A 22,864-nucleotide genomic window follows, 5' to 3' on the forward strand; every position below is an offset into this window, starting at 1 on the left:
TTCTGAACATTTATGAAGATCCCTAACAGATTTCTCCAGTGAGCTTTGTCTAGCCAGCCTTTAGCTTTAATTTTTGCTACTAACATGTGAATCTGTTGCTAGAAGTCAGAATAACTAGGGTCATAAGCTTGGATATTTAATTCAAATTTCCTAGCAAAACCAATAGGAACCTGGTGAAGATCAAGGAATTCTTTTAACTATGCCTGTAAGTTTGATCATGATTGATAAAGCAGGTTCCCCTCTACCAGATGCTGGATGAAATGGAGCCAAACCAGTGGGAGCAGGAGGAGGGGCAGGAGGAGGAGGAGGAGAAGGTCAATCAGGGCTGGGTAGTTCTGACAAGGAGGCTTAGAGAGACAGGGGAGCAGGGAGAGAAGAAGACATTTCAGTGTTTTTTAAAATTCAGTAATGGTTTTAGAGTGCTTTTTATTTTCTTCCTCTAAGGGAAGAATTCTGTCAAAACCTCTTTTGGATGCTTCTGGGTGCCATTGGAAGTAACTCTCTTAATTATTTTATTTGATTCCATAGCTGGCTTTTTAAAATTGTGCATATAAATAAACTAATCTAGCTATTTCAAAGATAATTCTCTTTGATCATTGTAATTTAGGATCTTCTTAGGTCAAATAAGACCATTTCTCCAACTATCGACAGGAGGTGGCGCCATAAGTCTTGTACATAAACCCCGCTGGAGTTTCCAAAGGTGCATTGCTTAATGAGGGCTTGGTTATAGATGGATAATTGCTCATAATTTGGATTCTCTTTTAAAATGCCCAAAGGCTAAAAGGGAAAAGTGTTTGGGGTCCAGTGTGCTGCTTAGTAGGGATTATTCCTGGAGGTATCACCTACAAGTAGCTTCTTCCCTCTTACCTACCTCAGAGAAACCCAGACATTTCTGGGAGTTCAAGGCACTGGGTGACGAACCCCTTGTGTGTTGTGTGCCCCGGGGGTTAAGCAGCTCTCCCTGTGAGTTCTTCTCTGGGGTTTGTTGTGAGCTTCCACACCCTTGTGTTACCTCCATTGCCTAAGGTGCCTTTCAGCTGGGAGAAAGAGTCCTTTTTGTCTTCAGCTTATCACGTCCTCATTCCAACCTTTTACAAATTTTGGGTGACTCAGGAAGAAACTTTAAATCTCAATGTTAACCAAGATCCAAAGCCTGGCTGGTTTAAAGCCACAAATTTGGCTTAAGCCACAAACATTCACTTTCTCCTTTTACAAAGAAAACTGCTTTCTCTTTAACCAAATGTCAAATGAGAGAAAAGGTTACAAACTTGAGCAAGTAAAAAAATGTCCAATGAGAGAAAAGGTTACAAACTTGAGCAAGTAAAATGTCCAATGAGAGAAAAGGTTACAAAAGAGCAAGTAAGACGAACGAAAACTTAACCTAATAGAAAAGTGAAACCACAAACCTGCCAATAGCAGAATCTTTAGAGAAATGACGCGAAACTCCTGCCTTAAAGCCCTAAATGGCGGCTTCAATATCAGTCCCACTGAGCATGAAATTCATTTACTTAAATAAAATCTGAATCTCAGCCCAAACCTGGGAGATTCAAAACCTGAGAGCGGTCTTACCAAAGACGCCCGTATGTCTGGTGAAGTCAGTTGGATGCAAGCAGTTTGTGCTGGTACCAGGGCCCCAGCTACTGATGAAGTGGCAGGAGTCCACAGAAGCCTACTTCGAAGTTCCCGGGGCTTCCAGGGGAGGTGAGAACACAAGTGATGGGAGAGCCTGGGGAGGGACTGTCTGGTGAGTAAAGGTTGTGCTGCTCTGTGGATGAAATGTCTCTGAGGTCGTAAACATCTCAGAGCCGCCTTCGGGAGAACGGGTGATAGTCATCTGGGCTGATGTCACCTCCAGTGTCCTCTCCTGTGATCTGTGTTAATCCTCCCAGATTGACGAGATTCCTGGGGAGGCGATTCATGACAGCTGAGTTCCTTTTGGAGGATCCGTCTTCAGGCAGGTAAGGGGAGCTCAGAGGAAACCTCTGCCTGCATCCGCTGATTCCCAAGTGCCCTCAGCTCACAGGGATCAGCACTCCCAAGTGCCATGGGGGTGGCATTTCCTGAACTCCTTCAAAGCAATAACAACAGGCTGGGCGTGGTGGCTTACGCCTGTAATCCCAGCACTTTAGGAGGCTGAAGTGTGAGGATTGCTTGAAGCCAGGAGTTCAAGACCAGCCTGGGCAACATAGGGAAACCCTGTCTCTACAAAGAATTAAAAGAAAACTTAGCCAGGAATGGCAGTGCACACATGTGGCCCCGCCTACTCGGGAGACTGAGGTGGGAGGAGTGCTTGAGCCAGGTGGTTGAGGCTGCAGGGAGCTGTGATTGCACCACTGCACTCCAGCCTGGGCAACAGAGTGAGACTCTATCTCAAAACAAACAAACAACAACAACAAAAGTGAAACAATAACAACAACTTTTACAAAACGGACATTTGGGATCTACATGCCACACTCCTAAATGCGTCTCTTAAGCAACAGGTGTCACAGTCTTAAACCTTGTCCTTACCCTCTTCATTCTAGGCACCTGTTTCATTCCAGGTAGGGCTTCCTCCTGGTTTCCTAACACAGCGGGTTGAGATGAACAGCAGAGAAGGACACTGCACACCTCTGCAGGGTCTCCCCTCTGGCCCACCAGCCCTCCCTTCTCCAGCAGTGAAGACCTCACTATGTCATCCAGGCAGGAATAATATAGACAGAAACCCCAGAAGCCCCAAAGCTCTGAAGCCTAAACCACAAGCCCCACGAAGTTCCACAGGGCCCACTGGGCAGAATGGCGTGAACCTTCAGGGTTTGTTTGGTTTTATGAACCATTTAGTCATTCTTTCTCCTTCCTCCCATGGTAGCACTAAAATACATTCTCAGGCTCCCAGGTATATACAGGGGGGACGGAGAGGCGAGGATATTCCTGATTGGAAAACAAAACAAAACCTACCTTTACTAATCTCAATATACAGATTAGGCTAATCAGATTAAATAATTCTGAAAGTTTTCAAAATGTCATTGTTAGATTTTTCATTATTTTAGAGAAGAGGTCTTACTCTGTTGCCCAAGCTGGACTCAAACTCCTGGGCTCAAGCGAACCTCCTGCCTCAGCCTCCTGAGTAGCTGGACTACAGGTGCGCACCACCATGCCTGGCTGAAATTGGTTTTTATTGAGGGTCTTGATATGAAAAAAAAGTCTTTGAATCTTAATGTTACTTTTTCATTTCTTCTTGGCAACCAAAGCATCCATGTTTTAATTTTTCTTTGTTTATTGTTGGCTGGAGAGCACTGCCTTCCTCATGTACCATGCATCAAGCCCTCTCCCCAGCCTGAAGAACACCATGTTCCTCTTAGCGATCATCAGTAACAAGGCGTGCCACTCGAAGAACTACAAAGATAAGGGTTTGGGGTTTGTGCTGGGGAAAGCTCATGACACTAGCTGCAGGAATAGAGGACTGAGCCTCCCAAGTCCTGGAAAGCAGAGGGAGGATGCCCCGCTCTGATTTCCTCAGCACCTTTGCAGAGCTCTTGGTCTCCTGCCTGTGCCCTGCAGGCCTGACTCACCTTCCTCTCTGCACGTGAGACTCTGCACACCTCCTATCGTGTTTATTGACGCATGGCAGCCTCAGCCCTCCATTTCATGTGACCTCCCAGCTTTGCTCTCTACAACACCTAACCCAGTCAGTTTCTGTGTCCTAATTCAAAATTGCTGGGAGAAAAAAAAGTCTGATTGGCATTTGAGTTTGAGAACGAAGGCTTGAAAGAGCCAGTTTGAAGAATGGGAGCAAGGCCTGGCTAGAGCACTGATCGACAAACTTTTCCTGTAAAGGGCTGGGTAGTAGATATTGCAGGCTTTGCAGGCCATGAAATCCACGCTGCATTGTAGTGGCATGCAAGCTGCCATAGCCAATCTGTAAATGAATGAGTGTGGCTGGGTCGCATTAGCATTTTATTTCCAAAAATAGCAGGTGGCCAGATTTGGCCCAGGGACTATAATTTTCCAATTCCTGAGATACTAGAAACAGAAGTGTTTTGTTGTTGTTTTAACTAACTCTTTATTGAAGTACAGCAAACAAAAGTATACACATTATAGCATTGTATGAACTATCACAGAGTGACTACACGCATGTAACCACCAACTGTGTGAAGAAAACATTGCCTGCATCCCAGAAACTATGTATGCACCCTTACTAGTCACTAATCTCACACTCCTCCCCAAAAGTAACTAAAACTCTGATTTGTATTGTCAGTGGTTTCTCCTGTTTTGGACTTTATATAAATGAAGTCATATTGTATGTATTTCTACTTTCTGTCTAACTTCTTTGTATGATATTCTCCCAGTGGAATTCATCTGTATTGTGGTTTGTACCAATGGTTCATTTCTTTTTATTGTTATTATAATATTTTATTGCATTACTATAATAGTATTTATTTCATTCTACTGTAGATGGACATTTAACATTGTTTCTAGTTTGGGGCTGCTGCATGTCTTTGGATGAATATGTGTACACATTTTTGTTGGAAATAGAATTGCTGGTCCAACATAGATAGATAGATAGGTAGGTAGATACATAGATAGATAGATAGATTTATTATTGAATATATATAACAAAATGTTCTTATTGTTCATCATAATTTCCAAATGACATTTTTTTTCTATTTGGTGTGGAATAACTTTCATATCTTCCATTAATTTTTTTAGACATAGTTCTTTTATTTGAACATGTTTTTGATACCTGGTTTAATGTCTTTGTCTAATAAGTCCAACATCTGGGCTTACTCTGGGACAATTTCTTTTGACTACTTTTTTATGTTTATAGGCCATACTTGCCTGTTCTTTTGTGTGTCTCCTAATTATTTGGTTGAAAACTAGACACTTTAAATAATATATCGACTCTGGAAATTAGAGTTGTTGCTGTTTTTGTGATTGCTGTTGTGGTGGTGGTTTATTTGTTTAGTGATGTTTCTGGATTGGTATTGTAAAGTCTGTATTCTTTTTTGTGTGCAGCCACTAAAGTATTTACTTGGTTAGCTTAGTGGTCAGCTAATGATTGGACAGAGAATTCCTTAAATGCCTTCAACCAATAAGCCTCCCCTTGCTCATGGGCTGTTTGTTAGGGTATGTCTTCAATGTCCCTGCAATTCACAACTCCACCTTAGTCTTCACTCCTGCTTGATCAGACCCTCAAGAGCCACTGGAGTAAGTACTTAGGGCCTTCCTGGTCTCTCTTGGGCCTGCATGCAGCCGTGCACACAGGAGGCCTTCTAATCCCCCAGGAATAAGTTGGAGCTTTTCAAAGCCCCTAAGAATATCTCTGTCCCTAGACTTTCCTTGTAAGTTTTATATCCAATTTCTTTTTTCTTTCTTTTTTTTTTTTTTTTTTGAGACGGTGTCTCGCTCTGTCACCCAGGCTGGAGTGCAGTGGCACGATCTTGGCTCACTGTAAGCTCCACCTCCTGGGTTCACGCCATTCTCCTGCCTCAGCCTCCCGAGTAGCTGGGACCACATGTGCCCACCACCACGCCTGGCTAATTTTTTGTATTTTTAGTAGAGACAGGGTTTCACCATTTTAGCCAGGATGGTCTCGAACTCCTGACCTTGTGATCCTCCCGCCTTGGCCTCCCAAAGTGCTGGGATTACAGGTGTGAGCCACCATGCCCGGCCTTTTATATCCAATTTCTTATCTGCCCTAAGTGGCACCACCACTTTTGACAGCTGGGATGTTGAACAGTTAGTGCTGATTGATTTTCACAAACACCCTGGGGATGGGGCTTTCCTCACTGGGAGATCTGAATCAGGTCAAATAAAGGTGAGCCTTGTGAATGGGGCTTGAATAGGAGCTGCCAGCCCAGGAGAAAGATTGATGATTCTCTGGGAATGAGGTTTTTGGGGCTCTGAAGCTGTCCTGCCCCTCTAGTCCGTCCATTAGGCTGTTGGTTTTCACTACTACCACAGTTCCAAGGCTGCTGTTTTTCAAGGCTGCTGCAGAGCTGATGGTGGTTGAGGGGGTGGGACTGGGGAAGAGGCAAAGTTAAAATTCCACAAAGCCTGCTGTTTACTGAGTTTCAGCCATTTTCTTTAACTAACACTCTGAATTGTTCCAATCCTATTGTTAATATCCAGAGTTCTGAAAAAGTGGATTTTGACAGCTTATGCTACGTCCCTTCTCTTACGGAGGCACAGATTCTTGGAGGGCCCTCCACCATCAGTTCACACATCCTTCTCCAGGCATTATGGCTGGTGGTTTTTATTTTTTACCATGGTAAATTTTAAATCTTTTCTAGGCCAAATTTTTTTTTAGTATGATAAAAGACACAGAAAAAAAAGCATACACACACACACAGTAACACACATACACAGAGGTACATTGGCCTATTATTTAATTCTATATGTGGATGTTGGGTTTTGTGTTAGTCTGTTCTCATGCTGTTGTAAAGAACTGCCAAAGACTGGGTAATTTATAAATGAAAGAGGTTTAATTGACTGACAGTTCAACAGGGCTTGGGAGGCCTCAGGAAACTTACAATCATGGTGGAAGGTGAAGCAAATATGTCCTTCTTCACATGGCAGCAGGAAGGGGAAGCATCGAGCAAAGAGGGAACAGCCCCTTATAAAACCATCACATCTCATGAGAACTCACTCAATATTATGAGAACAGCATGGGGGTAACTGCTCCCATGATTCAATTACTTCCAACTGGGTCCCTCCCCCAACATGTGGGGATTACAATTCAAGATGAGATTTGGGTGGGGACACAGACCCAGACCATATTATACACACTGGCCCCTCTCAAATCTTGTCTTTCTCACATTTCAAAACACAATTATGTCTTCCCAGTGATTTCCCAAACTCTTCAGTCATTTCAGCGTTAACCCCAAAGCCCAAGTCCATAGTATCTTCTGAGACAAGGCAAGTCCCTTCCACCTATGAGCCTGTAAAATCAAAAGCAAGTTAGTTACGTCCTAGATAAATGCGGGTACAAGCATTGGGTAAATACGCCTGTTCCAAATGGAAGAAATTGGCCAAAATGAAGGGGCTACAGGCCCCATGCAACTCTGAAATCAAATAGGGCAGTCATCAAACCTTAATGCACCAAAATGATCTCTTTTGACTCCAGGTCTTACATACAGGTCACGCTGATGCAAGAGGTAGGCTCCCACAGCCTTGGGCAGCTCTGCCCCTGTGGTTTTGCAGGGTACAGCCCCCCACCCCCCGCCAGCTGCTTTCACGGCAGGCTTTGAGTGTCTTTGGCTTTTCCAGGTGCATGGTGCAAGCTATCAGTGGATCTACCATTCTGGGGTCTGGAGGATGGTGACCCTCTTCTCACAGCTCCACTAGGCAATGCCTCAGTGGGGATGCTGTGTGGGGGCTCTGACCCCACATTTCCCTTCAGCACTGCCCTAGCAGAGGTTCTCCATGAGGGCTCCACCCCTGCAGCAGACTTCTGCCTGGACATCCAGGCGTTTCCATACATACTCTGAAATCTAGGTGAAGGTCCCCAAACCTCAATTCTTGTCTAATGCACACCTGAGGGACTAACACCATGTGGAAGCTGCCAAAGCTTGGGGCTTCACCCTCTGAAGCAATTGCCTGAGCATGTATCTTGGCCCCTTTTAGCCGCAGCTAGAGCTGAAGCAGCTGGGATGCATTGCAACTAGTCCTCAGGATGCGCACAGCAGGGGGGCCCTGGACCTGGCCCATGAAACCATTTTTGCCTCCTAGACCTCCAGGCCTGTGATAGGAGGGGCTGCTGCAAAGGTCTCTGACATCCCCCAGAGACATTTTCCCCATTGTCTTGGTGATTAACATTTGGCTCCTCGTTACTTATGCAAATTTCTGCAACTGGCTTAAATTTCTCCCCAGAAAATGAGTTTTTCTTTTCTACCGCATTGTCAAGCTGCAAATTTCCCAAACTTTATGCTCTGTCACCTCTTGAATGCTTTGCTTTAGAAGTCAAAATTCTAAAACAGAATTCTAAAGAAATTTCTAAAGTTCAGAAATTTCTTCCATCAGATACCCTAAATCATCCCTCTCTAGTTCAGATATCTAGGGCAGGGGCAAAATGCCACCAGTCTCTTTGGTAAACTATAGCAAGAGTCAACTTCATTCTAGTTCCCAACAAGTTCTTCACCTCCATCTGACACCACCTCAGCCTGGACTTCATTGTCCACCTCACTATCAGCATTTTGGTCAAAACCATTCAATAAGTCTCTAGGAAGTTTCAAACTTTCGCATATCTCCTTGTCGTCTGAACCCTCCAAGTATCTAGGAAGTTCCAAACTTTCCCACATTTTCCTGTCTTCTTCTGAGCCCTCCAAACTGTTTCAATCTCTGTCTATTACCAGTTCCAAAGTTGTTTCCACATTTTTTGAGTATCCTTATAGCAGCACCTTACTCTGTGGTACCAATTTACTGTATTAGCCTATTCTTACACTGCTATAATGAACTGCTGGAGACTGGGTAATTTATAAAGGAAAAGGTTTGACTTATACTTCCACAGGGCTGGGGAGGCCTCGAGAAACTTACAATCATGGCAGAAGTTGAAGCAAACACGTCCATCTTCACATGGTGCCCAAAAGGAGAAGTGTTGAGCAAAGGGGAAAAAGCCCCTTATAAAACCATCAGATCTCATGCGAACACACTCACTATCATGAGAATAGCATGGGGGTAACTGCTCCCATGATTTATTTACCTCCCACCAAGTCCCTGCCCCAACACGTGGGGATTACATTTCAGGTTACAATTCAAGATAAGATTCGGGTGGGGACACAAAGACAGACCATATCAGGTTTTGAACACAAGGTTTAAGAGAAGTTTAAAGAAAGTCCTGTGGAAGAGCTAAATATGAATTCCCAACAGAATCTCCCCTTGGCCAACCTCCTTGTCATCAGTTCACTGGCTAAACTAGTGCTCTGCATTTCCTTGTTTTTAAATTGTGATGAAATATACACAATACAGAACTTAACACGTTAACCATTTTTAAGTGTACAGGTTTGTTACTTTTAAGTGCATTCACATTGTTGTGCAGTCATCACCACCTCATCTCCATTACTTTTTTCATCTTAAAACTGAAACTCTATGCCCATTACATAACTCTCCACGCTTCTCCCAGCCCCTGGAAACCACCATTCTACTTTCTGTGTCTTTATATTTGACTACTCTAGGAACCTCATGCAAGTGGAATCATACATTATCTGCCTTTTGTGACTGATTTCTTTCACTTAGCATTATATTTTGAAGTGTAGGATAAATCATACACTATGTGTCTTTTGTAACTGATTTCTTTCACTTAGCAATATATTTCAAAGGTTCATCCATGTTGTAGTGTGTGTTAGAATTTTCTTCCTTTTTAAGGCTGAGTGATATTTTTAAGGCTGAATGATATGCCCTTGTATGAATAGAACACATTTGTTTATTCATTCATCTAATGATGAACACCTGGTTTGCTTCCACCTTTTGTCTATTGTGAATGCTGCTACTATAAACATGGGCTTACAAATATCTTGAGGAGCCCCTGCTTTCAATTGTTTTGGGTATATACCCAGAAGTGGGATTGCTAAATCATATGTTGATACTATTTTTAATTTTTTGAGGGCATGCTATACTGTTTTCCATTTTACATTCCCAACAGCAGTGCACACATGTCCAATTTCTCCAAATCCTCACCTACATGTGTTATTTCCTGCTTTTTTTTGACAGTAGTTATTCTAATGAGTGTGGAGTTGTTAGGGTCCAGCCTCAACGCCACCCACGGGTACCCAAAGTTTGGTGGCGGCAAAGGAATGAGAAGAGACAAGTTAAGAGTGAAAGGTGGGGAGCTGGGGGCCAGTGCAAAATGTGGAGGCTGCAAAAGGCTCAGAGCTCTGGTTTCCACACTATTTATTGAGTACAATCACTTAGATCTGAGAAGCAGGGGTTCAGGGGTGAAATGGGGAAAGGCAGACAGTGCGTTATACGTGTAATGTATAGCAGTGGCGGTTTAAGTGAATCTCCTTTGTGCTCAAATAGTATATCTTTAGTTACTTGTTGGGACCGGGCTTAACTAGGAGCCTGCATATCTAGCCACATTCTAATGCTTCATAGGAGTGTCTTTCTCCTTGAACACAGTGTTTATGGATAAGAGAGCAAGTCTTGCTCAGAGCATGGGAACATAGTGGCTATAAGAAGGCTTTCTTCTTCAGAGGCCTCTTGTGGCTTTCCGCAACTTATTGTCTCATATTTTTATGGCCAGTTTATGCAGGCACCCCATAAGCCTTTCTCCCAACATGGAGTGGTATTTTATTGTGACTTTAATTCACATTTCTCTAATGATTGGTGACACTGAGCTTTCTTTTTTTTCATGTGCTTATTGTCCATTTATATGCCTTCTTTGGAGAAATGTCTATTTCAAGTCTCTTACCCATTTTTTAATTAAGTTGATTCTTAGCTGTTGAGTCATAGGAGTTCCTTATATATTCCAGATATTAATCCTTTATCAGATATATGATTTGCAAACATTCTTTCCCATCTGATGGGTTGCCTTTTCACTCTGTTGTCTTTTAATATATAAACATTTTACATTTTGGTGTAGCCCAATTTATATTTTCTTTTGTTGTCTATGCATTTGGTGTTGTATCCAAGAAGTCACTGCCAAATCCAATATCATGAAGCTTTTCTATGTTGTCTTCTAAGAGTTTTATAGTTTTAGTTCTTAGCTTTAGGACTTTGATTCATTTTGAGTTCATTTTTGCACATGGTGAAAGGTAATGTTCCAGCAACATCCTTTTGCATGTGGGTATCCAGTTTTTTCCAGTAGCATTTGTTAGAATGACTGTCCTTTCTCCCATTGAAAATCTTAGCACCCTTGCCAAAAATCATTTGGCCCTATGTGCAAAGGTTTATTTCAGGACTCTCTATTTTATTTCAGTGGTCAATAAGTCTTTATGCCAACATCATGCTGTCTTGATTGCTGTCACTTTATAATATTTTGAAATCAGGAAGTGAGACTTCCAACTTTGTTCTCCTTTTTCAAGATTATTTTTGCTGTTCACTCTTAAGATTCCATGTGAATTTTATGGTCAAGTTTTCTATTTCTGGAAAAAACGTCATTGAGATTTTGATAGGGATTGCATTGAAACCATAGATTGCTTTGGTTGGTATTGACATCTTAACAATATCAAGTCTTCCAATCCATGAACATGGGATGTCTTTCCATTTATTGGTATCTTCTTTAATTTCTTTTATCAATATTTTGTAGTTTTCAGCATACACATCTTTCACCTCCTTGGTTAAGTTTATTCCCAAGTATTTTATTCTTTTTAATGCTATTGTAAATGGAATTGTTTTAATTACCTTTTCAGACTGTTCATTGTTAGTATATAAAAACACAACTGATTTTCGTGTTGACTTTGTATTTTCTGGTTTATTAGTTCTGTCAGGTTGGTGTTTTTGTTTGTTCTGGTGGTATCTTTAGGGTTTCTACATACCTTTAGGGTTTGCTACATATAAGATCATGTCACCTGTGAACTACCCCATTAAGCTTTATATTTTAATTATATTTTATTTCTACATGTTCCTTTTGATACTTTTTCAAATCTGCTGGGTCATTCTTCATAGTTTCTTATTTCCTGCTAATATTTTAAGCCTGCCTCAGGAGATATTAACTCTGTTGTGTTCTCTCATAATTCCAAATTATGTGGCTCTATTTCCTATTTCTGTGTCTGGTGTGTGCCCATTTTTGTTCATGATGCCTTGCTTCCTTGCTATTTTCTCTGTGGGATAAGTATGTGTTTAGTCCAAGATGGGGAGGGGGGTATCTCCAAGGAGGATTTGTAATTCCTTATGCAATTGCTTTAGGGTGCTACTAGCCTAAATTCTGAGGTTGAAGGGTTTTTGGACCATCCACGTATTGTGAATTAGTGCAGCAGCCCTAAGGTTCAAGACTGGCAGTGACTCCCAGGGTTGTTGGGGGCAGATTTATGTTTATTTCTATTTCATATTTATACCTAGGGCATAGCCCTTTGGGGTTCCAGTCTTAGGGAAGGAGGATCTTCTATTTCACTCCTCACTTTGGGCAGGTCCTGAACACTTACCTTCTCCACAGTGAGGCTGTGAAACTCAAGTTCAGCTGCTTGGACAAATGCTCTCAAGGCAATGGCCTCAGTGCTTAGCTAGTCCCTGAGTTTTCATCTTTACTTAGTTCTTGGCCTGAGTACTCCTGTTTTGCCAGCTCATGGGTTTATTTTCTATATCTAAGGTCACCATTTTTCATTATCAGAAGGATAACTAGTCAAGGTAGCTGCCCACCATATTGCCAGAGATACAAATGTCTCCCTGAACACTTGAGGTCTCATACCATCAAAATTCTCATCTCACCTTGTCAACCATTCCTTTGATATCTTCCACTGACCACTGAGAATTGGTCTTCAAGCCCCAGTCCTTGGCAGTACAAAGGGTAATTAGGGAGTGTTGACCTACAATTACCTAATGCCACTATGATAACTCCCCAGTAACGGAACTCAGCTTACATGCTTACCCAAATTGCAGCCTTAATTTCACTATAAAATTTTCTCTGGCTGCCTTACCAAGTTCATTGTTTATATCATTATCACTAATTTCTTTTCTCCAAATGTAAAATTTTTAGTTTAAATCATGAACAAAGCGATGTTGTTTTCCTTTGAAACACCCCCTTTTTCTCTAAGTCTATCCTAATTCCAGGTCTTACTACTTCTTATAGAGGTGAATCCAACATGTTTTGTTCACTTACCTGCCTTCACTGTGTCTACTTTCAAATTAATCTTTCTGGAATAGTTTTTATTATATCCCCTCCCCCCACAAAAAATTAAAACTATTCCTTATTTTCCCTCTGATAATTTTAGTTCAACACATTTTGAGCAAATGCCTATAAAATGCCAAGCAATCTACAAAAATTTGGGATACTGTCAGTTTTCTATTGCTGCTGTAACAAATTGCCACAAATTTAGTGGCTTAAATGAGAACAACTAAAAACTATTGTTTTACAGTTCTATAGGTCAGAAGTCTGGTGGAGTCTCATTGGAGTAAAATCACTCTTAGTTCCTTGCATCTGTAGGACTAAGGTCCCATTTTCCAAACCACTTTCCTGTCTTCCTCTTCCACTGTGAGGGGTTCACGTGATTCACTCGGGCCTTCCTGGATAATTCTGCCTTCCTCTTCCACTGTGAGGGGTTCACATGGCTCGCTTGGGCCTTCCTGGATAATGCAGGCTCATCGCCCCATCTCAAGGTCCTCAACCTTAATCACACCTGCAAAGTATCTTTTGCCACTAAGCTAACATAGAAGCCACAGGTTCTGGGGATTAGGTCTAGGACAGGGATTCCCCAGCCCCCAGGTCACGTACCAGTACGAGTCCACGGCCTATTAGGAACTGGGCTGCACAGCAGCTGAGAGGTGGGCGAGTGAGCATTACCGCCTGAGCTCTGCCTCGTATCAGATGACTGGCAGCATTAGATTCTCATGGGAGCACGAACTCTATTGTGAACTGCACATGCCAAGCATCTGGGTTGCGTACTTCTTATGAGAATCTAATGCCTGAAGATCTGAGGTTGAACAGTTTCATCCTGAAACATACCCTAAACCCCTACCCAATCTATGGGAAAATTATCTTCCATGAAACCACTCCCTGGTGCCAAAAAGGTAAGGGGCTGCTGGTCTAGGGTATCTTTGGGGGGCTATAATTCCACCTACCACAGATAACATAGGTGAAGAAGGCCTCAATCTGTCTCTGAGGCTTCATTAACGCAGAGAGAAACAGAGTGCGAACAAGTAACCACTCACCTCTAAGACATCTATTCCATTGTATCAGAGAGGGCTGAGGACACAAAGAGGAGGAAACTAGAAAGAATGTTTATAAAGATCAGGAAGGCCTTACAGTCTAAATGAGGGGAAAGCTTGCCAGATAGGAATGGGAGTTCTTCTAATAGGAAGAGATAGCATATAAAGTGAGAGAGGCCTGTGAAGTGTTTGGCAAGCTTGGGTAATCACAACTGATTCCATGTGACTAATGGGAGTAAGGGGGTGGGATGGTGACATTACAAGAGATTAAGATGCTGGCCGTGGTGGCACGCACCTGTAGTCCCAGCTGTTTGGAAGGCTGAGGCACGAGAATCGCTTGGGCCCGGGAGGTGGAAGTTGCAGTGAGCCAAGATCATGCCACTGCACTCCAGCTAGCACTAGAGTGAGACTCGATCTCAAAAAAAAAAAAAAAAAGAAAAAGATGTGAAACATCTCATCTTGGACTCTTTCTTTTTAGCATTAATATGAGAAACAGAATCTTATTTCAGGAAAATTACTCCTGGAACAGTACAGAGGTCAACCTGAAAGGAAAGCGACTGGAGAAAAGGAGACAAATGTAAAACCTTGCTAACATTTACAAGAGGAAAAGAAATGAACACAGTGAGCGTGGGGAGAGGTAGATATGAACAGCTCTGCAGTTGGAGGAACAAACCTTGGAAATAAGGAGAGGTGACCTGTGTTTAGCTGCACCCCTAGAGGGTGGAATCGGCTGAGGAGCAAGCCCAGCAACACTGAAGTTCAGAGATGGAGCGGCTGGGCGGTGGGCGAGAGAAACTCTTCGGGGACACATGTGGTTCATTTCAGGAGGTAGCTAAACTTTCTACAAAGTTAGTACGTAATTACACACTTATTTTTTAATTCAACAAAGTAATTTGGGAGAGCTTCATGGGGAGCAGCACTGAGGTTTAAAGAGCTGAGGATACAATTATCTTCATTTAACTTTCTATGCTAAAATATTTCTTAAAAATAAAGTTGTGCAGCTATTACTATTCAAATATTTCCTTAAATTACCAAATATTTGCTAGATTGACATATGTTGTTTAACTTTTCCTAATGAGACTAAACTCCTAGAGCTAGGATACGCAGTATTTCTTCCAAGTTTCCTCTCAATACCTAGCAGATAGATTAAAAACACACTTTTTGTGAGCTATCAGGTAGATACTTTTAATTATCCTACACAAAGAAACAATCTTGGGATGATTTGGATGGATTATCTATGTCTTCATCATTGGCATTCACATTGCTTGCCATTCTTACTTGCCAGTGTTACAGAATTCAGGGTATACTGAGGTGGCAGCTCGGTGATGGACAGCTGTTCATCTTCTCAATGATCAGCCACCCCTGGTCACTGCACGCTGGAAAAGTACCTAGTGCAAGGGAAGGACCTCCATTTTTTAATTGCACTTTATGTTAACTTCAAAACTGGCATTAATTCAGTTATTGGAAGACACTTAACTATCTTTTGAATAATTTGAGTATATAAACATACATAATATCCTTTTTCAACTCTAAGTGGTGTGAAATCTAAACAGATCAAGTACTTCCAATGAAAATTTCAGAATTGAGATGTTGTCTAAGTGTAAAATATACACTGGATTTTAAAGACTTGGCATCCCTCAAACAGTAAAAATATCTCAGTAATTTCTAAAAATATTGATTACTTCTGGCAGAAGCAATATTTGGATGTATTGTCTACATATTAAAACTAATTTTAAAACATTTATTGTAGCTACTAAAAATGTTTAAATTACACATTGTTCCCATTATATTTCTATTAGATGACACCGAGCCAGATGAAAATAGGATTAAATGAGATTTTCATGTAAGAAATAATTTGTCCGATCTAATCATTTTTTTCTAAGAAGTATTTACTTGAAATCTTTTTATTTTTATATGTTCATCTAAGTCCCTCTTAGTCACCAAATCAATGCTTAACAGCTGTGCAAGCCAGTTGGCTTTAGACAGCTCCTGGAGTTTTTAAGGATCATTTCTTGGCAGCTTTAGAAAAAAAAGCACTAATTGAAAGGTTAATCAAATCAGTCATATTTGTATGTTGGTTATATAAACACCCTGTCTCCACCAAAGATTAAACAGACGCATTATACTCTACCCAGAAGGCCCATTTATTCTGTAATGATTGTCACTTGCCTTCAAGCTTCTAAGTAGTAGGGAAGTACTTTGAATACTTTGCAAATGAAAACTCTATTCTGATTTATGAAATGCTTCCACACTGCCAGGATTCTACAGAATCTAAAATATTTTATAGCAACACCAATTCTACCTGTGGTACACAAGGGGAAAAGGTCAGTTCTACATCTACTCAAAGATAAGTCAGTATCTAAGTTTATTTAAGCACAAAAATATAAGCTTAAAAATAGACATATTTTGAGGCACAATGTTGGTTAAAAAACAGCTCTGAATGTCTGCGACAGCACTGGTCAGCACGATCTAAAGATATTAGCAGTTACTGCCCTGCTCATCTTTAATAAACAGGCGGTCTCCTACCATTTTATCACACCTATGATCCAACAAGACGTGTACTGCAACAGGGTCTGGAAAGAAGCAGGATGGATGCAAGTTCCGTAGCGTCACTGGTTCTCACTGGTTGCGCCTGTGCTTAGTGATTGCAAAATAATCTGAATCCACCCCTGCCTGGGATGGAGTTTATTACGGTGACAAAAAAAATGGCTGGCTTCTAGAAATTATTTCTTGAGGTAAAAATTGACTGGAAAATATTTTGTCTTGAAATTACTTAAAATGTGATCCGGTTTGATGCAAATTATAAGTTATGCAAAAAATGTGGAATAATAAAGGATTACTCAATTCTAAGTTCAAAAGTACATTTATTTAAAATGTGGGCAAGATATCAATATAAAAGAAAACAGAGTATAAGAAATAAAAATAATCAAAGTACAAAACATTTCAAATCTTTAACATCCATAATTTAGAGATAGCAAGGTCTTTATTTACACCATTTTATTTCTAGTTGAAGTCCCGTAACAGTTTTGTGAAAACATTTAAAAACCTGGCAAATGAATCATAAAACCTAATGTGGGCTCTTAAAGTCATATAATACAAAACATAATTTATGTTTCCTCAGAATAAAATTGCACATCTTAAAAAGATGCAGTATATTTATTATATCTGTCTTCCTGCTTCACAGTCTGATCCCCCAGGAAAGCAGCTGGAAAACAAGAGCATGTGAAGGAAGCGCAGCAGCTCCTCGCCAGCCAGACAGCCAGCCCCGCACCGCAGGAGTCGACATGCACGGCAGCCTAGACGCCATCAGTTAAACTTATATGTAGGCTTGTTGAGGAAAACGACTTTCAAACACAAGGCAAAAGAAAAACATGAAACCAAGGGTTCCAACATTCATCATCCAGTTTCAGAGACACCCTTGAAGGAATGCTACAGCCTCTTTCTTACCCATTCAAACCAGTCGCTCTGCTGCATACCCACATCACAGGAGGCCCTCAGCCCCGACACACAGGCTCACTCAGCCCGGGGACATCAGCACCTGTGCCAGCTCCGCAAGGTATCCACCATGCGGCCAGAACTGAGGCCCAGCAATAGCTGAAATGTCCTTTAAATTAACATGTACAACACACAACCCCCAAGAGCTGACATCCCCAAAGCCCCACCACAAATAGCTGACTCCTACTTATACCTGCAGGAGCAGGTAGTGACCTCTGCAATTCTAAACCGTCCACTTTGGGCAAAATTCATCAAGCTATGGATATGAAAAAAGGCCCCCAAGGTAATACTCATAAGTCTCCTGTATGACTTTTAAAGCAATTTCTTCTGAAAGTAAATGTAGTGTAGAACAGGCTTTCACAAATACAAACATGAATGTTAGGAAAAAGTCTGGAAAAAATGCAAGAGTACATGTTGTATAAAAACCAAATGCTTATAGCATATCTGTAAAAATTTAACAGGCCTCTTATCATTCCTATCAGTAGCTCCTACAATAATTTTCTAATAGATGGCGGTATGGAATACAGCAAGCTCTGGTATGAATGGTAAGAGCGTTTCTGCACCAAGCCTCATTCCAACTAGACAGGCTATTTATTTATGGCTAAACATGACATTGGATTCTGGGACTGAGGCAAATTTTACTTCTTTTTTTTTTTTTTTTTTTTTAAAGACAGAGTTTCGCTCTTGTTGCCCAGGCTGTAGTGCAATGGCGCGATATTGGCTCACTGCAACCCCTGCCTCCCAGGTTCAAGTGATTCTCCTGCCTCACCAAGTAGCTGTGATTACAGGTACCCGCCACCATGGCCAGCTAATTTTTTCTATTTTTAGTAGAGCCAGGGTTTCACCATGTTGGCCAGGCTGGTCTCGAACTCCTGATCTCAGGTGATCCACCTGTCTTGGCCTCCCGTGCTGGGATTATAGGCATGAGCCACCACGTCCGGCCAAATTTTACTTCTTAAAAGTGCTTTTCTCTCAGTGATATCAAGGTCTTCTGTCTACTATTATAACCATAAGCTCTTTAGCGTTAAGAGGAAAATGTTTGATAAATGTAATTAACTGGATGAATGTCAGTGTATTTAAATGTAAATATACTTAAATGTAATTACCTGGATGAAACAGGCACACACGAAGAAAAAAAAACTCGGCAAGGATGGGTATCATTCTGACCTCTGCGCCTTACTGAAGCAGTCCTATCCCAAACACAAAATTCCCCTGCTTAAGGAAAGGTCCACTGAGGTTGACACTGGTCAGAGGTGGCAGAGGCTCCCACCCTCACAGAGAGGAGGAGCTCCAGCCTCATTGCAGGAGGCCCAGGGAGAAGTCCTGAGAACAGCCCTGAGAGAAGGTGCTCTGCAATGGGAAACGGAAGTGGAAACAGAATTTTCCCATAAGGACCTGTAAGGCATGTTTTGCTTCACTGATAGGCTGTTCCTACATTAAAATAATAATTCAGAGATTTTTAATAAGGAATTCAAATAACAGATGATGAGCTTTATTTTTTCCTGAATGTCTGAAATAGAAAAAAGCCTAGGTGTCAATATTCTAAAGACTGACCTTTGCATTTTCCTGACATGTTGATGAAGTATTCATTCTGCCGCTTCCATTTAGTAGTAATTTATCTCCCATCCCAAAGTTCCTGAGTACAAAGACTATATACGAACTAAATTTCATTTGGAAAACTACAAACTCAAAGGTGAGCTGATAAAAAGAAACATATATTTATTTTTGCAATTATTTTCTATTTTATCTAATTGTCAAATTCTTTAATACCTCCATAAACTAGACAGTATAGATCCTTTCTAATTAACATCACCTATTAAAACTGAACTCTCAGTAAGTTAAGAGAATATTTTTACTAGCAACTCAAATGAATATTCTGAAGAGAAAAGAATTGTTCACTGCATAAATCACAATAGCAAAGAAAGGAAAAATGGCTTGCAAAACAGGAAAGGTACTGCCTTATTAACCTGGGAAATCCATTTCATATCTAACCCGTCTACTTTTTAATTCTCTTTTGGAAAGGATATGATTCATAGTCCAGCGTTTGAGTGAGCACTCCAGTCAGAACGAACTCTGCATTGTGAACATCTGAACAGGGTGGAAACAGACACTTTAGTTAGAGATCCACTGCTGTGCGTGCACACATACTCACACAGGTAAGCGGGGAAACGTACCTATGCCTCTGGCAAAATATTCTCGGCATAAATGAAGGTCATTTTCACAGGATATTAAAATTATTTCCGACAAACTCTAAGGAAAAGAAAATGAGTTTCTCAGTGACCGAACGCTGAATGTGATACAGGGCAATGACGGACTCGCTGGCGGACTCCACTCTACCCACCGAGTTCTGCTTGTGCTCCATGAGCTTCCGGAAAGATGGCTGCTTGGATAACACCTTTCCTCCTGCACACTCTACGATTGCCTTCATAGTGGAAAGACTTGGGCAGATTCCAGGTGTGATGTAAAAATATTTTGCCTAAAATTAAATGAAAATATATGTATTATGTTCTTAAAATGCTTTAATTTTTAGAGTACATAATTCTCATAGATTCTGCCCTGAGATTTTTGACAAAATTTCAAATTTTATGACATTATGAAGGTACTATTCTCCTACTAGCACTCAATCTGAAGTGGAAGAGGAATCCAGCTATGTAAATTTGGAATGTAAGCATTTTCACATGTTAAGTATGCCTGAAGATGATTTAAAGTAACCAGAACTTAAGTCCCTAAAACAAAGTGTTTTGTGAATAAGCAAGAATATTACAAATATTTTTCACAATTTCTATACAATTTTAAATCAGCATTATATTTCACCACACTTATCTGCCCAGCAACAGCCTCTGGCATAGCATGCTGCCTGGCTTATATCCCTTTTCTTTATTTTCTCCATATTATTTGAACTCAGAGCAGGAAATGATATTGATGCTTAAGATTTAATTATCTAACAAGATTGCTCCTGAGGATACCACAAAATACTATTCTGTCTGAAACTGCAAATAATTTCTAATTCCTGTTGACTCCTTAAGAAGGTTAAAGAACCGATTATCTTTATTGATTTACTTAGTTCTTTGGTACAAAAAAAATTCCTAGCTGTTCTAACACTTATCTAACATTTAAAAATCTTTTAGTACTGAATTATATCTATGCACACACTGAATATTTTCCCAAGTATCTTCTCCAGCTGAATATACATTTACTGACAATAGTACGAAGTAAGCGATGTCCTCTAAAGATTTATTAAAAGCAGAAAAATGAACATGCCTCTTAACCAATTACTCAAAAACCTATTCTTTGAATAACTTATTTCTCATAGATGTATTTATTAAATTTGTGTACTTATTTTTAAACATTATAGTAAAGAAAAGTTCTCTAGAGATGTGCTGTGGTTCACAGGAGGAAGACCTCCAGTGGCAATGTCCAAGAAGGAAGCCAAGAGGTAAATGGGATGCAGGGTGAGCCCAGCTCCCCTGGAGGCGCACTTCCCACCAAATCACCTGGTAGTTCCCTTGAGCAGGTCCGTGTGTTATGCTTACTTGGACTGATTTACTTTTCCCTTAAAGTGTACCTTAAAGAGTGGAGAAACGTGTGCCCGTTTTAAGGATTCTTCCAAGCTGAAAGAGAAAAGTACTTCTGCCTCAGCATCTCGGAGAATGTAGTTCTGCTCATCTGGAAAACAGAACAGCACATACTCTGAAAAGTGTGGACACGTGAAGTGTGGCAAGTGTGACCCACAAAATTCTCGCCCATATTCAGGTACATAATATTACAGCTACATTTACCTGTACAGCCTTCGGATATTTAAATGTCACCATTATATTTCATTTACTTCCCTCTAAAAACAGCCAGACCAAAAAGACAGACAGGTATTTTTTCTCCTAGATCAGTGGTAATTAACCATTTGGGGTCATAAACTCTTGAAAAAAACGGGCTGGGTGTGGTGGTTCATGCCTGTAATTCCAGCACTTTGGGAAGCCGGGGAAGGAAAGCTGCTTGATGCCAGGAGTTCGAGAACAGCCTGGGCAACACAGTGAGACTTCATCTCTACAGAAAAATTTTAAAATCAGCTTGGCATGGTGGCATGTGCCTGTAGTCCCAGCTACTCGGGGGACTGAAGTGGGAGGATCGCTTGAGTCTGGGAAGTTCGAGGCTGTGGTGAGCCATCATTGCACCACAGCACCCCAGCCTGGGCAACAAAGTGAGATCTGGTCTCAAAATAATAGTAATTTTTTTTTTTTTAACAACAAAAATGTAAAAAAAGAAAAAAAAAATTACTGAAAAATATGAACCCTCTTCCCATAGCTGCTCCTCCCCTCTTTACCCCCCGACTATTTTAGGAAGTTCACCAACTTTCCAAGCCCGCAGATCTCAGGTTAAAATCTCCAGTCCTAGAAAGACAAGCTTCAAATAATCCCATCCAAGTGTATATTATATATATATATGTTATATATATACACTAACTCCTCAAGGACTTGTAGGACATTGGAGTCATTTGGCTCATAATCAATTATGTGAATTACCAAACTTTAAAGATTTACCAAACACACATTCAAGTATATAAAAGTATACAGCAATTTATAAAGGATAGTTTTATCAATTTTTAAAGACTTCTGACAATTATTAATAATTGACAGATTTTCAGTTTTCATAGCAACATTTTAAGAAATGTGTCAAAAGGTAAAGATCACAAAATGTTTCAATCTTCCTATAAATATGCCTCATATTCAGAAAACCATTTCTCCTCCGCCGCCATTTCCTACCAACCATACAGCATAATAAGGCAGCTCAAACCCAATAATATATACATCAAAAGCAGAAAACAAGGAAAAGTGATTTGGGATTGGCAAACTGGGGTTGACAAGATGATACATATTTTAGGATTTGTGGGCTATGTATTATTTCTCCTGCATATTCCTCTTCTCTTTTTTAAGCAATATTTAAAAAATGTAAAAACCATTTTCAGCGTATGGACCAGTTTGCTGACTGCTGGGCAGGAGCAACCACATCATGACAGAAATGCAGGGATCTGTTCACCAACGGCCAGAAATACAAAATCAATCCCTGAGTCAACCAGCAGATAGAAAGGCTGCTTTTTAGGTGAAAGGAGAAAAAGAATGTCTAAAATTTGGAAAAACAAAAAATGATGAATTAAAAAAGGAACAAAAAAAGTACTGTTACACATGAGATGGTATATTTGAAGTGTTACTTTCAAAGCTGATATGCCTTCTGAAGAACTTGTGTGAGATCACCAAGAATAGTTAATGTTTATGATAGAGAAAACACCACCGGGCGCGGTGGCTCACGCCTATAATCCCAGCACTTTGGGAGGCCGAGGTGGGCGGATCTCTTGAGGTCAGGAGTTCAAGACCAGCCTGGCCAACATGGTGAAACCCTGTCTCTACTAAAAAATACAAAAAAATTTAGCCAGGCGTCGTCGTGGTGGGCGCCTGCAGTCCCAGCTACTAGGGAGGCTGAGGCAGGAGAATGGCTTGAACCCAGGAGGCAGAGGTTGTAGTAAGCCAATGGCACCACTCTACTCCAGCCTGAGCAACAGACTGGGTGAGACTCTGTCTTAAAAAGAAAAGAAAGTAATATT

The 22,864-nt window shown here is 40.8% G+C and overlaps 1 protein-coding gene and 1 long non-coding RNA gene across 7 annotated transcripts in view, besides 4 other annotated features; one reads left to right on the forward strand and one right to left on the reverse strand.

Moving 5' to 3' along the window:
• Positions 1,451-22,424, forward strand: PAXIP1-AS2 (PAXIP1 antisense RNA 2). 2 transcript variants are annotated; one of them, NR_024476.1, is made up of 8 exons: positions 1,451-1,701; positions 1,890-1,958; positions 16,961-17,554; positions 19,294-19,427; positions 19,527-19,725; positions 20,627-20,707; positions 20,832-21,024; positions 22,232-22,424. It is a non-coding gene; the product is annotated as a PAXIP1 antisense RNA 2 (long non-coding RNA). The 2 variants fall into 2 exon arrangements; NR_024477.1 differs by lacking the exons at positions 20,627-20,707; positions 20,832-21,024; positions 22,232-22,424 and having other exon boundaries at positions 19,574-19,786.
• Positions 1,532-1,591: an enhancer, noted in NCBI's record as "active region_26887". NCBI's record gives its function as "activates an Ori minimal core promoter by ATAC-STARR-seq in GM12878 lymphoblastoid cells {active_cell/tissue: GM12878}" and the evidence as "EXISTENCE:reporter gene assay evidence [ECO:0000049][PMID:35858748]".
• Positions 1,612-1,711: an enhancer, noted in NCBI's record as "active region_26888". NCBI's record gives its function as "activates an Ori minimal core promoter by ATAC-STARR-seq in GM12878 lymphoblastoid cells {active_cell/tissue: GM12878}" and the evidence as "EXISTENCE:reporter gene assay evidence [ECO:0000049][PMID:35858748]".
• Positions 1,862-2,081: an enhancer, noted in NCBI's record as "active region_26889". NCBI's record gives its function as "activates an Ori minimal core promoter by ATAC-STARR-seq in GM12878 lymphoblastoid cells {active_cell/tissue: GM12878}" and the evidence as "EXISTENCE:reporter gene assay evidence [ECO:0000049][PMID:35858748]".
• The window catches only part of PAXIP1 (PAX interacting protein 1), a 59,722-nt gene continuing 53,481 nt past the window's right edge, over positions 16,624-22,864 (reverse strand). For all 5 annotated transcript variants that reach the window (XM_011515982.4, NM_007349.4, XM_047420059.1 and 2 more), the window contains 5 exons: positions 20,837-20,937; positions 19,613-19,747; positions 19,446-19,521; positions 19,299-19,359; positions 16,624-17,098 (listed from right to left, as the gene is read on the reverse strand). In XM_011515982.4, coding sequence (XP_011514284.1) covers positions 17,083-17,098; positions 19,299-19,359; positions 19,446-19,521; positions 19,613-19,747; positions 20,837-20,937 — 389 coding nt within the window. In that variant the 3' untranslated portion in view covers positions 16,624-17,082. The remainder of the gene's footprint in view (positions 17,099-19,298; positions 19,360-19,445; positions 19,522-19,612; positions 19,748-20,836; positions 20,938-22,864) is intronic.
• Positions 18,958-20,157: an enhancer, noted in NCBI's record as "BRD4-independent group 4 enhancer chr7:154737734-154738933 (GRCh37/hg19 assembly coordinates)". NCBI's record gives its function as "activates an origin of replication core promoter dependent on BRD2, P300/CBP, MED14 and CDK7 cofactors, and independent of BRD4, by STARR-seq in HCT116 cells {active_cell/tissue: HCT116}" and the evidence as "EXISTENCE:reporter gene assay evidence [ECO:0000049][PMID:35650434]".

The sequence above is a fragment of the Homo sapiens genome, chromosome 7 (assembly GCF_000001405.40).
Source record: "Homo sapiens chromosome 7, GRCh38.p14 Primary Assembly".
In the NCBI taxonomy this organism is placed as follows: domain Eukaryota; kingdom Metazoa; phylum Chordata; class Mammalia; order Primates; family Hominidae; genus Homo; species Homo sapiens.